Genomic DNA, 16,066 nt, shown 5'->3' with positions numbered 1-16,066 from the left:
AATAGAGGCAAAAACATATTCCAGACCTTTGTTTGTTCTTTTATTTTTACAACACCCTAACATGATAAAGTACCATCAATTATTGGATTATATTATTAAGCAATAGAACTGTGAACAATGTAACACTGAAGGTCCCTGAGCTGGATTCATGGTTAAAGAATAATCACGGCCAGTGATTGAAAATCTGCAGTTTTATATTGTCAGTCACAGATACCAAGGTTAAAGACATATTCTGCCTTGTGGTCTCTCACTGACCTCAGCATTTCTGTTCAGGGAGGGAACCAGGTCATAAAAGCAACCCAACTGCCTATTACAAGAATCATATCTTGCAGAATGGGACATTTGGTGTTAGTGCACAAACACAATAACCTTCTACCTTATTTTAGTTGCAGAAAATCAGTACAGATTATTAAAAAATTTTTATCCACTGTAATTAGTACACCTTAGAATATATTAGAACTGGACTTAAGCAGATCATCTAGATACATAACACTATCATATTACAGCATATAATTTCAATTAAAATTTAAGAATTTGCATTTCTTCCTGTTTGGTGTTGATTTCAGCTCCTAATAATTTAAAGCGTGCCTACAATCCAATTAGGAATCTTTTTAAAAAGCACTTCAGTGCACTATAGGGGCTCACTAGTTAGGGTTTCATGAGATATACTCTTTTCAAGTGAGGAAGCCCTTGGAACACTACAAATCATCTGCTAATTCATTTTTGGTAGATTTAACACATAACAAATTAAGTTTAGTCCAAACAAATGGTGACAAAGTTAAGTTTGCTGGTTCATGTTTTTATTCTCCCTTTGTCTAAGGTGAATTATTTTCCCATGTTAGTCAGAAGCCAATGATGTGGCAGTAGCTAAACATAGATTAAAAAGTTAATTCTTAATTTTAATTATTTATTTATTTAATTATTTTAACAGTTAAATTTTATTTTATTTTCTAATTTTTCATGTCCATACTTGATTACTTAAGAATAAAATTATTTTAACATGCATTCCAAAAGAGGAGACATACACGGAAATACAACAAGCAAATTAACCTTCTATTTTTGCATCTGCAGAAAATGTCTCAAGAACCAGAAATAAATAAGGACTGTGATAGAGAGGTATACCTTTATGTTCAAATGTTTCTGTGGAATTAGATTTTTATGTTATGCTGTTTAACAAAGTGTAGTAAGTGTACGCATACATGATCCTATCATGTAAGTAGCATAAATCACCAGTGAAAAATTTAATATTTAACTCAGAAAGAATTCTGTACATTGAGTTTTCAAGAGATACAAACCCTAGAGAGATTCTTTCATTATTATGGAACAATCCTGAATGGTGCCATAAAATGCTAGGTAATGCCACTTTAGGAGATTTGGACCAATCCTTTTATCTTTCTTGGTTTTAGTCTGATTATCACTAGATAATGTGGCTAAAGAAGATAATTACTTATTCTTTGTAATTTCCAGCTGGAAAATTGTATAGCTATTGAATGTGAAATTTGGGGAACATCTAATTTCCTGGAATTCCATGCTTGCACCTCAGCAGTTTCACTCTGCTCCTTGTGTTGTGGCAAACTTTGGTTTTCATGTTTCAGTGAGCACCATCATGTTTTTGATATACAGGAACCAAATGAAAAAAGAACGATCAAAGGCAGTGGGGGAGGAGAATATCTTAGTGCAGAAAAGGGCCATCTTCCTTTCTATTCCTGAAGCCCCCCAGTGTCTCATCCTCTACATCTGAGTGTTTAATGTAAAATCTAGGTGGTAAAGACAGAAGACACATTTTGTGTCTATGTCGTTTTATTTTTGTGTTCCCACGAGTCAAATGGGGTAAATTCATATATAAGATTCTGAAGAGTTTTTGGGAATAAAAGCACAAAATGAAGGAGGGCCCTTTTTGAATTTTGGAAAATTCTGTTTTATTCAGTCAAACAGCTGGAATCAAGCAAACTTTACAAAAATTTCAGTGATATACTAATGACATGATAATTACATCTTAAAATTATACAGTTATAGTTCTGTATATATGATCAAATTTAAGTGTGAAATATTTTTAATGACTAAAATAATGGCAAACTGAGTCAATTGATAAAATCAATTAAAAAGGTTATTTTTATTCAATAAAGTGATAACCATCCTTAATATCAAACTTCCACTCAAGGTTGAAGAAGAAATAAAGAAGCATGGAAGTAATCCTGTGGGATTACCAGAAAACCTGACTAATGGTGCCAGTGCTGGCAATGGTGATGATGGATTAATTCCACAAAGGAAGAGCAGAAAACCTGAAAATCAGCAATTTCCTGACACTGAGAATGAAGAGTATCACAGGTAAGCCTATGGCAACATTTAATAGGAGATAACTATATGCTGTCAAACTAATCCTAATTTGGGCTTTCATGATGAACAAATTTTATACTTTTACTAGAATATTCAGCCTTGCCTGTTAATCAGAAAAATGAAAATCAGTAAACAATGAGTTACCGTTTTTTCCAGTCATTAATTTATTTGAAAAATAACCGGCATTGGCAAATGTGAGGGAAAAGGCATTTCCTTTTCTTTTTAATGAACTTTTATTTTAGCTTCAGAAGTTCATGTGTAGGTTTATTATATAGGTACACTGTGTCATGGAGGTTTGGACTACAGATTACTTCATCAGCCACATAATAAGCAAAATACTCGAGAGGTAGTTTTTTGGTCATCTCCCTCCTGCCACACTCCACCCTCAAGTAGACCCTGGTGTCTGTTATTCTCCTCTTTGTGTCCATGAGTTTTCATTGTTTAGTTCCCACAAATGAGTAAGAATATGTGGCATTTGATTTTCTGTTCCTGCATTAGTTTGCTTAGGATAATGGCCTCCAGCTCCATGTGTGTTGCTGCAAAGGAAATGGTCTCATTGAAAAAGACAATTCATACACTGTTGGTAAATATATTTTGAACATTAATTTATTAGCATATTTGCACACACACATATATAACATAGTAAGGATATATATGTATGTTAAGGATATTTGTATAGATTTGTCACATATATACTTATGTATAAGGACATTTCTTACAGCGTTATTATATCAAAAAGATGGATCCTTATCAATAGGAATTTATCATTATCAAAAGTAAATCCTTACCAATAGGAAATGGCTCAATTTTCATACCCAGAAAATAATACGGTATGCAAACATTTTTTACAAATGAGGTTAGATCTAGAGTATACTGATTATTTCACAATTAAAATGTATTTAAAGCATTTAGTTTGGTAACACATCTTAAGATAATTTTGTTAGAATTCTTGTAATATCTGCTGTGTTGCAAATGGAAGCTACACGCTACATTGACACTGTACCTTGTTAGCAACGAGATTGGTAGTTATTAAATTTTTGTTGTCAGTGCCTGAGTGCCAAAATATTGGACCTTCAATCTGAATATTGCCAAGGGATTGTACATGGGGATCTATATTTAATATAAACATTTGAGTATATTGGGTAAAACTTTTATTAAAATATATCAAAGTATCTTTCATCTGCTAAACCAGGAGCTGGCCAGCTTTTTCTGCAAAGAGCCATTTAGTAAATTTTTAGGCTTTGTGGACTATATATATTTATTTTTTTTGAGACAGGGTCTCTGTTGCCCAGGCTGGAGTGCAATTGTGTGATCACAGCTCACTACAGCCTTGACTTTCTGGGCTCTAGTGATCCTCCCACCTCAGCCTCTCTATTAGCTGGGACCCCAAGTGTGCAACATCACACCCAGCTAATTGACTCTATGGACTGTAAAGTGAATAAGCATGGCTGTGTTCCAAGATTCTTTACTTACAAAAACAGGCAGTGGGCTGGATTTGGCCCACAGGTGCTAATTTGCTGACCCTTGTGCTAAAAGGAAGGTGCTGCTAATGCAGTAACACTTATTTATAAAAGTGCCCAGCATGTGTGACATTATCTTTCCTTTGAGAAAAGGATATATTTTGGTATTCACCTCACCATATTTTTCCACAGTGACTTCATATAATTTTAAAAATTTCATTTGTAAAATAAGATTATTTTCTGCATTTCTGCCACTTTATTCCTGTTAATAGAATTCAGTATTTTATGGTGATCAATTACTTTGTATATTCGATGAGCATCAACTGTCCTAGAATTGGCTGATTTTTATCAAGCAAGAAATACTCTCCTTGAAACTTTTAGTTTTTCTTGGTCTTTATGTATAAGCATGAACAAAATGATAATTAGCTTATGTAATCTAGAAATGGTCAAGGCAACTTTTAGTTCTATAGTTTTAAGATTTAACACCTTGGTCTGGCATTTTTAATGCCACATGTGTATAATTTTTATAAGCTTTAAAATATATAATTGTTATATAAAATTTGAAAACTACACCTTTTATGTAAAATTTGAAACTATTTGTCCATTACTTTTCCATGACTGTGGAAGAAAATTACAACATTCTCAGCCATGACTCCTAAGTATGATGTCCTTAAAAGAACTGTCTACACTCACGAACTCAAATTTTCTTTTCATTCACTCTTGATCTCATGCCAGTAAGTCTTCAATTTCAGCAGTCCTCCAGCATTGTTTTTCCTCAAGATTATCACTATTTTTTTTTCTGTAATAAATCTAGGCCCTTTTCTTCCACCTCATTTTATTTAATCTGTCAGCAATATTTGAGCCAATGGAGGGCATCTCCTCCCTAACGGCATCTTCACTTGGCTTTCAGGACCTCACTCCCTCAGGCTTTTCCTCCTGCCTTTCTAGTCCATTCATCATGGTCTGTTTTGCTTGCTCCTCCTCATCTTTCTCCTTTTGGACATTGTTGTTTCCCAGGGCTCACTCCTCAGTCTTCTTTCTCGTGACTTTTTCTTTTTCTTTTTTGGAGACAGAGTTTCACTCTGCCTCCCAGGCTGGAGTTCAGTGGTGTGATCTCGGCTCACTACAACCTCTGCCTCCTGGGTTCAAGCAATTCTCCTGCTTCGGCCTCCTGAGTAGCTGGCATTACAGGTGCATGCCACCGTGCCCAGCTGATTTTTGTATTTTTAGTAGACACAGCATTTCCCCATGTTGGCCACCCTGGTCTCAAACTCCTGACCTCAGGGGATCTGTCTGCCTTGGTCTCACAAACTGTTGGGATTACAGGTGTAAGCCACTGCACCTGGCCCCTCGTGACTTTTTCTACTGTGTATATGCTAGTGATTTCTGAATGTATGTCTCCAGCTCAGATCTTTCTCCTTAATTCCAGATTTCTATATCAGCCTGCCTACTTGACGTCTCTATTTGGTTAGTTATTGGGTATCACACACTTGTCAGATCCAAAATTGGGCTACTGATGTCCTTCCTGAAATCTGCACCTCATGTAGTCTTTCCTATTTTTGGTTAAGGGCAACTCTTCCAGTTGCTCTGCCAAATATCTCGGTGTCATTCTTGACTCATCTCTCTCTCTCTCTGACACCTCACATCTAATCTCTCAGTAAATCTTGTCAGGTCTACCTGAAGAATATGTCCAGAAGTCAGTCATATCTTGTACATCTGAGCCACCCTCATCTGCAGTCTAGATGAGTGTCATAGACTGGGAATTGATAGTCCTGGTTTTTAAAAACTTCCCTTTTCATCAATTCTTAACTCAGTGGATGTATTTAAAACATAAGTCAAATTGTGTCATTCCTCTGCCCCAGCCCTTCTGATTATCTCCCATTTCACTCGGAGTATGTGTCAAAGTTCCTCCTAATTATCTCCCTTGCTCTGCTTCAGCCAAACTGAATTCTTGCCGTCCCTTATCTACCCCTAGTGCTTAAAGATGCCAGGCACACCTCTGTGATTCGCAGTTCCCTGTGTCTGGAATGCTTTTTCCCCAGTTATCCTCCTAGCTTTCTCTTTCCATTCCTTCAGTTCTTTATTTAAAACCCCCTTTCTAAGAAGAAGAGGAAAAAGGGTAAAAAGAAAGACATTAAGGAACAACCACTTTCTGAGGAAGAACAGCGTGCTACCTAGACGCGTCATGCTTGAGGTTCAATTGGGTGCCTACCAGGGATGCTCTCTAACGTAATGAAGGGAAGGTTCAGTGAAACAAAGTGATTTAACATCTCTAACTTCAAACCCATTTGTATCTTGACATCAATGCCGTTAACCTTATGTCGTCATTTCTTAGAGTCTTTGATATACAAATAAAAGGTTTTTTGTATTAGAAAAAAAAATCCCCTTTCTCAGCAGGGACTTTTCTGACCACCCCAACTTTCCCACCCTCCCCATGAAACACATAAACATTTCATTTTCCTGCTTTAGTTTTTCTCCTCTAACATACTGTATATTTTGCCTTATCTGTCTGTTGTTATTGTGTGTTTTTCTCACTCTCATGAATGGGGTTTTTATTTTTCACTACCATATCCTCACTGCCTAGAAAAAGGCCTAGCATATTGGATGAAGCTACCTAATAAATACTTATTAAATGAGTGAATGGAGTTTATCCTGGATATATTGTTTGATTAATTCTCACTTTAAAAATGTTTGACATGGTTCATTCTAACAGTTTTGCCCGGTAATTACATGCATTTTAAAAATTGTTTTGGCTCTTTATAATAAGCTACATTCTTTATATTATTTTTTTATTTAGAGAGAAAAGCCCAATATTGTGGTTATTCACTATTTATTCTTTTACTAGTAAACATAATTGTAATTATGGTAAACTGAGTCAGAGGAATTGTAAACTTTACTGGTATTTTATTTTATTTTGAGATGGAGTCTTGCTGTATCCCCCAGGCTGGAGTTCAGTGGTATGATCTCAGTTCACTGCAACCTCCGCCTTCTGGTTCATGCATTTCTCCTCCCTCAGCCGCCCAAGGAGCTGGGATTACGGGGGCATGCCACCACGCCTGGCTAATATTTGTATTTTTAATAGAGATGGGGTTTCACCCTGTTGGTCAGGCTGGTCTCAAACTCTGTACCTCAGGTGATCCACCCACTTCGGCCTTTCAAAGTGCTGGGATTACAGGCATGAGCCACTGTGCCTGGCCACTAGTATTTTATTTAAAAAAAAATTAGGGTGGCACATTTAATGGACTTACAAATTCTTTTCAAGGGATTATGAACCTTTGGTATTTGAAATAAAGATACAGAGTTGGAATTTTTTGCTTCCTATAGTAAGAGGAATACTGGTCAGGCACTGTCTATTCTGGTGGAGCAGGTGCTGCTGCGTGGCTGTATTTCAGAAGCAAGCTGCTCACATTGATATTGGTTGGTGAGCAAGAGCAGTGGTCATTGATTGATTGACTAGATTTCAAACTGGCTTTTGGGTGGCTTGTTGTTACCATTGGTACAAGTCATTTCTTTCCTAAGTTAGAGTCAACTTTAACCAAAAATTTTCTGTATAAAAGTTGCCTTCAATTAACTATGTTCAAAATGAAAGTACTTTATATTCCAGAATTGTAGACTTCATTTTAAAATTTTGGTCAGGATGAATTGGTTAATAATAGCTCTCAGGAAGATCTGTTTTCCTTTTTTAAAATACGTATTTCTCTGTATAATTTATTCCTTAAAATTAATTATTTTCTTTCTGTTTTTGGTATTTTTAGAAGCTTTTGCTCAAGTCCTAACATAATCTCCAGTAGGAGATTTTAGTCTCTTTGTCAGTTCATGTATGTATATGGTAGTGATACTCTCTTTTTAAATTCCTTTTCTCATTCACTTTCTTCTCAGTACAATAACAGTGATATTCTTATACATCTTTACCTCATTTAAAAGTAATTACAGTTTTCTGCTGGCAAATTCAGCTTTTTATATTTTGACTAAATACTAGGCTAAAATTGAAGAAAATTTACCAGGTCATTTTATTTTCAAACAAAATCATTACTAATAAAAATTGCTATTTTTGAAATATAAATAATGACATTTTGATATTTTAAAAGTAAGGATACACCCCCCCCAATAGTTTCGCTTTGTGTTTCCACCCAAATCTCATGTCAAATTGTAATTCCCAGGTGTTGAGAGAAAGACCAGCTGGGAGGTATTGGATCATGGGGTCGGTTTCCTCCATGCTGTTCTCTTGATAGTGAGTTCTCACAAGAGCAGATAATTCTATAATGGGCTCTTTCCCTTTCACTTCTCTCTCTCCTGCCACCTTTTGAAGAAGTTGCCTGCTTCCCCTTTACCTTCTGCCATGATTGTAAGTTTCCTGAGGCCTTCCCAGCCATGTGTAACTGTGAATCAATTAAGCCTCTTTCCTTTATGAATTACCCAGTCTCAGGTATACATACATACATATATATATATATATATATATATATATATATATATATATATATATATATATATAATTTTCTTTATTCCACTCATCAGTTGATGGACACTGGCTGATAACATATCTTTGCATATGTGAATTGTGCTGCAGTAAACATATGTATATAGGTGTCTTTTTGAGAGTATGATTTCTTTTATTTTGGGTAGGTATCCAGAAATGAGAATGCTGGATAGAATGGTAAGATCTACTTTAACAGAACTCTCCATAATGTTTTCCATAGATTTGTACTAATTTGTATCCCCACCAGCAGTGTATAAATCTTCTTTTTTCACCACATCCACACCAACATCTGCTGTTTTTTTTATTTTAGTAGTGACCATTCTGGCTGAAGTGAGGTGATATCTCACTGTTGTTTTATTGTACATTTCCCTGATGATTAGTAATATTTAGCATGTTTTTATATTCTTGTTCACCATTTGTACATCTTCTTTTGAAAAATGTCTATTCATGTCATGTGCCCACTTTTTAATGGAATTGTTTGTATTTTTCCTGCTGATTTGTTTGAGCTTCTGGTAGGTTATGGACATTAATCCTTTGTTAGATTCATAATTTGCCCATATTTTCCCCATTGTATAAGTGGTTGGCTCACTTTGATGATTATTTCTTTTGCTGTGCTGAAGCTTTTTAGTTTAATTAGGTCTTTATTTATTTATTTATTTATTTATTTATTTTTATTTTTGTTGCTTTTGCTTTCAGGGTCCTCATCATAAATTATTTGCCTAGGCTAATGTCTTCTGGTCTTAGGTTTAGGCCATTAATCCATCTTGAATTAATTTTTTACATGGTGAGAGATAGAGATCCAATTTTATTCTTCTATATGTGACTATCTTTTTTTCCCAGCACCATTTGTTGAATAACGTGTACTTTCTCCAGTGTATGTTTTTGTATCCTTTCTCAGAGATCATTTGGTTGTAAGTGGCCTTTTTTCTGAGTTGTCTATTCTGTTCCATTGATCTGTGTATGTACTTTTATACCAGTACCATGATGTTTGTTACTGTGGCCTTAGAGTTGAAGTCAGGTAATTTGATGCCAACATGTTTGTTCCTTTTTCTTGGTATGTCTGTTGCTATTCAGGCTCTTTTGTGGTTCTACATGAATGACAGCTTTTTAAAATAACTCTGTGAAGAATGACATTGGTACTTTGGTAGAAACTGTATTGACTCTGTAGACTACTTTGGGCACTATGGCATTTTCACAATATCAATGCTTTCAGTCCAGGAACATAGAATGTATGTTCATTTATTTGTATGATCTATGATTTTCTTCAGTGGCGTTTTCCAGTTATCCTTTGATAGATCACTCACCTCCTTCATTAAGTATATTCCTAGGTATTTTACTATTTTGCAGCCATTGTAAAAAGGATTGGATTCTTGATATGACTCTCAGCTTGGTTGTAGTTGGTGTATAGTGGTACTATTCATTGGTATTTGTATATTTTGTAACCTCTGAGACTTTACTAAATTCATTTATCAAATCTAGGAGTGTTTTGTAGGAGTCTGTAGGGTTTTCTAGGCATAAGATCATATCATTGGTGAAGAGAGAGTTTGACTTTCTCTTTTCCAATTTGGATGCCCTTTATTTCTCTTGCCCAATTGCTCTGCCTAGGGCTTCCCAGTTTTCTTCTTAATATGCATGAAATAAAAGTGAAATTGAAAGCGATTAATGATCAGTTTATTTCACATCTCTCTCTCATACACAGATAAAATTAATTCAAAGTTCTATGTTAAAAACACAATATTAGACCCTGTCTTGTTCCAAAGGGAATTTCTAATTTGTCTATAAATTACAGAGGAATCAAGAATATAAGTGGAAACTGTTTCCAAAAAATAAACATAAAAAGTTTGAGTTAACACAGGGGTTTCCAATCCCCAGGCCACAGACCAGTACCAGTCCCTGGCCTGTTAGGACCTGGGCCACACAGCAAGAAGTTAGTGGTAGATGAGCAAGTGAAGCTTCATCTGTTTACAGCCACTCTCTGTCACATTACCACCTGAGCTGCTCCTCCTGTCAGATCAGCGGTGACATTAGATTCTCATAAGAGTGTGACTTGAACCCTATTGCAAGCTGCTCATGCATGGGATCTAGGTTGTTCACTCCTGATGAGAATCTAATGCTTTATGATCTGTCACCATCTCCTGTCACCCCTAGATGAGACCATCTAGTTGCAGGAAAATAAGCTGAGGGCTCCCACTGATTCTACATGATGGTGAGTTATATAATTATTTCATTATATATTAGTAATAATAGAAATGAAGTGCACAATGTATGTAATGTGCTTGAATCATCCTGGAACCATCCCCCACCTCAGGTCCATGGAAAAATTATCTTCCACAAAACTAGTCCCTGGTGCCAACATGACTGGGAGAGCAGGGTTAACAGATGTGAGGCCCCTTTGCCTTGTCTTGGATTAATGTGCAGATATACATTGTGTGAATGACATCTGATGGTGCCATCTTGCCCTGTAGATCATTTTAGGGACACCTCCAGTATTTCATGAAAATTAAAATTTCTTCTAGTGACGAACAAAATGATACCCAGAAACAACTTTCTGAAGAACAGAACACTGGAATATCACAAGATGAGATTCTGACTAATAAACAAAAGCAGATAGAAGTGGCTGAAAAGGAAATGAATTCTGAGGTATTTTCTTTAGTCATTATCAAATGTTTTCATATGTGTGTATATTTTTAAAAAGCTTTATTTTGGAAGGTATAAAGGATTTTTAAATCATATATATACACACACCCTGTATATCCTTGGTCATATATCTATATATGTACACATAGGATAAAGCCATGTTCTTAATTCAACTGCATTTGCCTGCAACAGTCGAGTAGTGACCTTCACAATGGCCTCAATCCAAAGGAAAAGCATTTGATATTTTTCATAAGAATTGATTATCTTTCCAATATCAAAAATAAGTTTTGCTACTAACAACAGATTTGCTAGTTTTGGGACATTAGTTCTTTTTAAAATATTAATAGAGAAGTCAGTTTGTTATTTTCACTAATAGGAAAGTAGGAAATGTACAGCTGGGTCAGAGGCCACATTGTGGATGTCATTATCCTTGCTTTTGAGGAGAGGAACAGTTTGCTCCGAGTAGTTTCTCAATTCAATGCAAAGAGCTTTGAAAACAATGACATGCCATGATACACATTTAGTGATAATTTATTGATAAGTATTTTGTTCCCAGATGAATAGTTCAGTACGTTTCCCGTATTTCACACTTACTACTATAATGTTTCAAACATTATGAAGAGGAAAGAAAAGTTATTGCAATGGCAAATAATCTCATGATTTCTAAGAAAAGCCTTGTAAGTTATATCTTATTTACCATTTGTATTTTGAAATAAAAGGCTTCTTTTGTATTTATATATTTACACCACAGAAGCAACTGATTTTGTGGAGGATCACTAACAGTAGCATCAGAAGACCTGGCAAAAATCTTGCACGTTGCATATATATATGTGTGTGTGTGTGTGTGTGTGTGTGTGTGTGTATTCTAGATGGAGTCTTGCACTGTCACCCACGCTGGAGTGCAATGGCACAAACTCAGTTCACTGCAACCTCTGCCTCCCAGGTTCACACGATTCTCCTGCCTCAGCCTCCTGAAGTGCTGGGATTACAGGTGTGAGCCACTGGTCCTGGCTGCATATATTTTTTGACCTCTCCTTTTAAGAATCGTGATCTTAAATGAGTTGAGTGTTGTATGTAGAAGTGCAATGCTTAGATGCCGGTGTGTACATTGTAGAAGGGTACAACGCTTAGATTTAACAGTTATGAATAAATGTAATTCTTATAACTGACTGTAAAAATATTAGAAAAGCAGTATATTGATAAAACATTCCTCAGAAAAAGGAACTTAAAGAACTTTGAGGAATTGCTTCTGTCCTAATATATGCATAGCTGAGGCTCTTATGATGGTGTGGTTTGTAGGTTAGATATCAGAGTGTAAACCCAATTTAAAAAATGTAGCCAAATGTATTAATCTTCTATTTTATGCCTCTGGGTTTTTTGTAATTCAGAGAAAGGCTTTTCCAATTCTGAAATTCTTAAAAATCCTCTAGTGATTTATTTTTCATGGTCTTTAGATAAATATTTCAACTTTTTGGAATTTACACTCTTCTAGATTTGAAGTTTTGTCCAACTTTTTTCCAGTTAAATATCCACTATGGGAATTATTTCATTATACAAATATAAATGTCATTCTTTGATTTTAGAAGAAATCATGATATGTCATTCTATTGAGTGCTAACTAAAAGTTCCCTTTGTTTACTTAGCTTTCTCTTAGTCATAAGAAAGAAGAAGATCTCTTGCGTGAAAACAGCATGTTGCGGGAAGAAATTGCCAAGCTAAGACTGGAACTAGATGAAACAAAACATCAGAACCAGCTAAGGGAAAATAAAATTTTGGAGGAAATTGAAAGTGTAAAAGAAAAACTTCTAAAGACTATACAACTGAATGAAGAAGCATTAACGAAAACCAGTATTTAAGTACAGTGGACAGCTTAGGATTTTGACAACTGAGAATGCTCAGTTCTGAACTGGAGAATGTAAGACACAACTAGGAAACACTGGAAATGGAAATTCAATCATGTCATTGTAGACTGACTACTGCTCTACATGATTGTGATCAAAGTCAGATAGCTGAAAGGGACTTCTTTCCAGAGAACAAACATCAACAGGTTTATTTACAGGAGAAAATGAATTCTTATATATCTCACCTAAAAGATAACAGTGAGATTCTTTCTGAACAACTCTAACGCTGACAGTAAAATTAACAACCTAAAAATTAAGCTCCATCACACAGGATAAATTCTGAGAGAAAAGATGAGGCAGGCCACCATCTTTCCTGTTTGGGCAACTTAGTCATTCCAGCGTGCGGGCTTTGGAGAGTACAAACTCACCAGGGACAGAAGAGATCCTGTGGCATAGCACAGCTGCTTTACCAAATCATGGCCAGAATGCTTCTGTAAGCAGGCCCCTGATCCTGTTCCTCGTCACTGGACAGGATCTCCCACCTGAGGCCTCCAGCTACACCCACCAGTGTTCCCTGGCCAATGGAGATTTGAAACCTTCCTGGGACAGAGTTCCCAGAGAGAGGGGTGGGCCATGATGGGCAGGTCTTCCTGGCCTGGGTCTCCAGCCAGCCCCCCACTTGAGCCTTCAAGCCAGTAGCAACTCAGCAACTCCCTGGACAGAGCTTCCAGGAGCAACAGAAATCCTCTCTGCCACTGCCTCTGCAGTGGAACTGCCCTTGCTACCCTCAGAATATCAAGGGAGCAAAGACCCTAAGTGCCATATTGACACCTCCAACAAGCTGCAGTTGACACAAGGAACAAGTCAGTCCATCTTCCACGGGTACAACACACCCCTTACTGCTCATCACCAGACAAGGAACCCTGGCTTGGGCCCACAGCACAGACCCTCCATCCTGGGGTGATTACATTAAGTAACTCCTAACTTACACCTCTCTGGGGTGGAGCCCCCAGGAGACAAGGAAAGTGGTGGAGCAGCAAGTCAGCTGATGTGGAGCCCGGAGGGCAGGGACATCTATGTCTCTAGGCTCCACTTGCTCTTATGAGACACTTTATCCCAGCACTTAAGGAGTGCTGAGGTCAGACCAGCCCCATCTCACGTGCAAGATTGCCCAGCACAGATCAGGTCTAAGAGTTCTCTTCCTAAAAAGGGGGACTTGCTTAAAAAAGAAGTCTGGCCGCGTTTGTGTAGAGCAGTTGTGCTGTGCTGAGGATTCACTTTTGAGAGAGTTCTCCTCTGAGACCTGATCTCTGCTGGGCAGTCTTGCACATGAGATGGGGCTGGTCTGACCTCAGCACCCCTTAGTCTGCTTGCCTCTCCCAGGACCCCAGCCAGGCCACACCTGCTTAGAGGGCACTTCTGGGTGCCCACACCATAGCTTCTGTACAAGCGGACCGTGGCTGATCAGTGGAGAGCTGCAGCAAGGTGACCTCTACAGCCACGTACCAGCCTGCACATTACCTCTCCATACTGCAGCCCTTTATATGGAAACTTTCTACATCACTTAGCTGTGTGTGTTTACACAGGTGGGTTTTGTTGTACTTGCCCTAACAGCATATGGGAATGCAGCACACACCCCAACCCACACCAACTGCCACTGAAGATGAAGCCATGGTGGGCACAGAACCAAAAACCCCACCCCTGCTAGCATCTCACCCTTGAGGTAATGCTGTGCAGAGGAAAAGGGACCTTCTTATACCCTGAGTGACCACTGTTGCTTGGGGGGGATCAGAGAAGGCACCTTCACTGGCCAGCCACCCACCCCAAACCAGAACTACCTCCAGTGCAACAGCACACACAGTCAGCAGGGGCCCCCTGGCCCACACCCCAGCTGTTTTGCCTCCACCACTAGGTGAATGCCCACAGGGAGGCAGGGACTTTTGCATCTGCTAGCATTCTGCCACAGCTGCCGCACTTTGGTCCCCTCAGTGCGGTGGACTCCAAACCTCGAGGAGCCAGAGAACAAAGTTGTGGCCCAATACAAGTTCCCCAGAGTTAAAGCACACAGTCCAAGAATTGGGAGCTGCATGTTGGCCCCTTAAAATCCTCCAAAGACAAAACCTGTTGGCTGAATCCACCTTACACCACAATCAAATCCTCAAGGTCATCAGATATAATAAAGGAAAAATACCCTGTCCAAAGGTCAGCAGCCTCAAAGATTGAAGGTGGATAAGCCCATAAAGATGAGAAAAAGACTGTGCAAGAACACTGAAAACTCAAAAATTCAGCATGCTTTCTTTTCTCCAAATGACTGCATCAACTCTCCAGCAAGTGTTCAGAACTGGGCTGAGGCTGAGATGTCTGAAATGATACAAGCAGAGTTCAGGATATGGGTAGGAACAAAGTTCCCTGAGTGAAAGAGGTATGTTGTAATCCAATACAAGGAAGCTAAAAATCATTGTAAAACATTGCAGGAACTAACAGACAAAATAGCAAGTATAAAGAAGAAAATAACTGACCTGACAGAGCTGTAAATCACACTAGAAGAATTTTCATAATGCAGTCACACGGTGATTGTGTGTGATTGCATTATGAAAATTATTGTAGTATGTGTGGGCACCTGAGAGTGCCCTGTAAGCAGATGTGGCCAGGCTGGGGTCCTGGGAGAGGCAAGCAGACTAGGGAGGGCTGAGGTCAGACCAGCTCCATCTCATGTGCAAGACCATCCAACAGAATAGACCAAGAAGAGGAAAGAATCCCAGAACCTGGAAACTGGCTTTCTGAAATAAAACAGGCAAACAAGAATGGGGGAAAAAAGAATGAAAGGGAATGAACAAAACATCCGAGAAATATGGGATTATATAAACGACTAAATCTATGACTGATTAATGTACCTGAAAGAGATGAGGAGAATGGAACCAACTTGGAAAACACATTTCAGAATATCATTCATGAGAATGTCCCCAACCTAGCCAGACAGGCCAACACTCAACTTCAGGAAATCCAGAGAACCTCAGTAAGATATGCCATGAGAAGATCATCCCCAAGACACATAATCATCAGATTCTCTGCGGTCAAAATGAAAGAAAAAGTGTTAAAGGCAGCTAGGGAGAAAGGCAACATCACCTGCAAAGGAAATTCCATCAGACTTAGCAGACCTCTCAACTGAAACTGTACAAGCCAGAAAAGATATTCAACATCTTAAAGAAAAGAAATTTCAACCCAGAATTTCATGTCCAGCAAAATTAAGCATCATAAGTGAAGGAGAAACAAGATCCTTTTCAGACAAGCAAATGCTGAGGGAATTCATT

General features: G+C 37.8%; 1 protein-coding gene and 1 non-coding gene across 5 annotated transcripts in view; one reads left to right on the top strand and one right to left on the bottom strand.

Moving 5' to 3' along the window:
* The window catches only part of POTEB2 (POTE ankyrin domain family member B2), a 30,943-nt gene extending 18,154 nt beyond the window's left edge, over positions 1-12,789 (top strand). For 2 of the 4 annotated variants that reach the window (NR_102390.1, NM_001277303.1), the window contains 4 exons: positions 1,072-1,116; positions 2,162-2,328; positions 10,794-10,917; positions 12,558-12,789. Coding sequence is in view for 3 of the 4 variants with exons in the window: in NM_001277303.1 (NP_001264232.1) it covers positions 1,072-1,116; positions 2,162-2,328; positions 10,794-10,917; positions 12,558-12,770 (549 nt within the window). In the remaining variant the exon portion in view is untranslated. Of the gene's footprint in view, positions 1-1,071; positions 1,117-2,161; positions 2,329-10,793; positions 10,918-12,557 lie in introns of those variants that run through there. The other 2 variants (XM_006720354.4, XM_017021853.2) reach the window with 2 other exon arrangements.
* A 2,502-nt stretch (positions 12,790-15,291) lies between these two features.
* Positions 15,292-15,366, bottom strand: MIR3118-2 (microRNA 3118-2). The gene has a single exon (NR_036062.2). It is a non-coding gene; the product is annotated as a microRNA 3118-2 (primary transcript).
* Between the last annotated feature and the right edge of the window lie 700 nt (positions 15,367-16,066).

This window comes from Homo sapiens, chromosome 15 (assembly GCF_000001405.40).
Source record: "Homo sapiens chromosome 15, GRCh38.p14 Primary Assembly".
NCBI classification, from domain to species: domain Eukaryota; kingdom Metazoa; phylum Chordata; class Mammalia; order Primates; family Hominidae; genus Homo; species Homo sapiens.
This window is presented reverse-complemented; position numbering and strand designations above follow the sequence as displayed.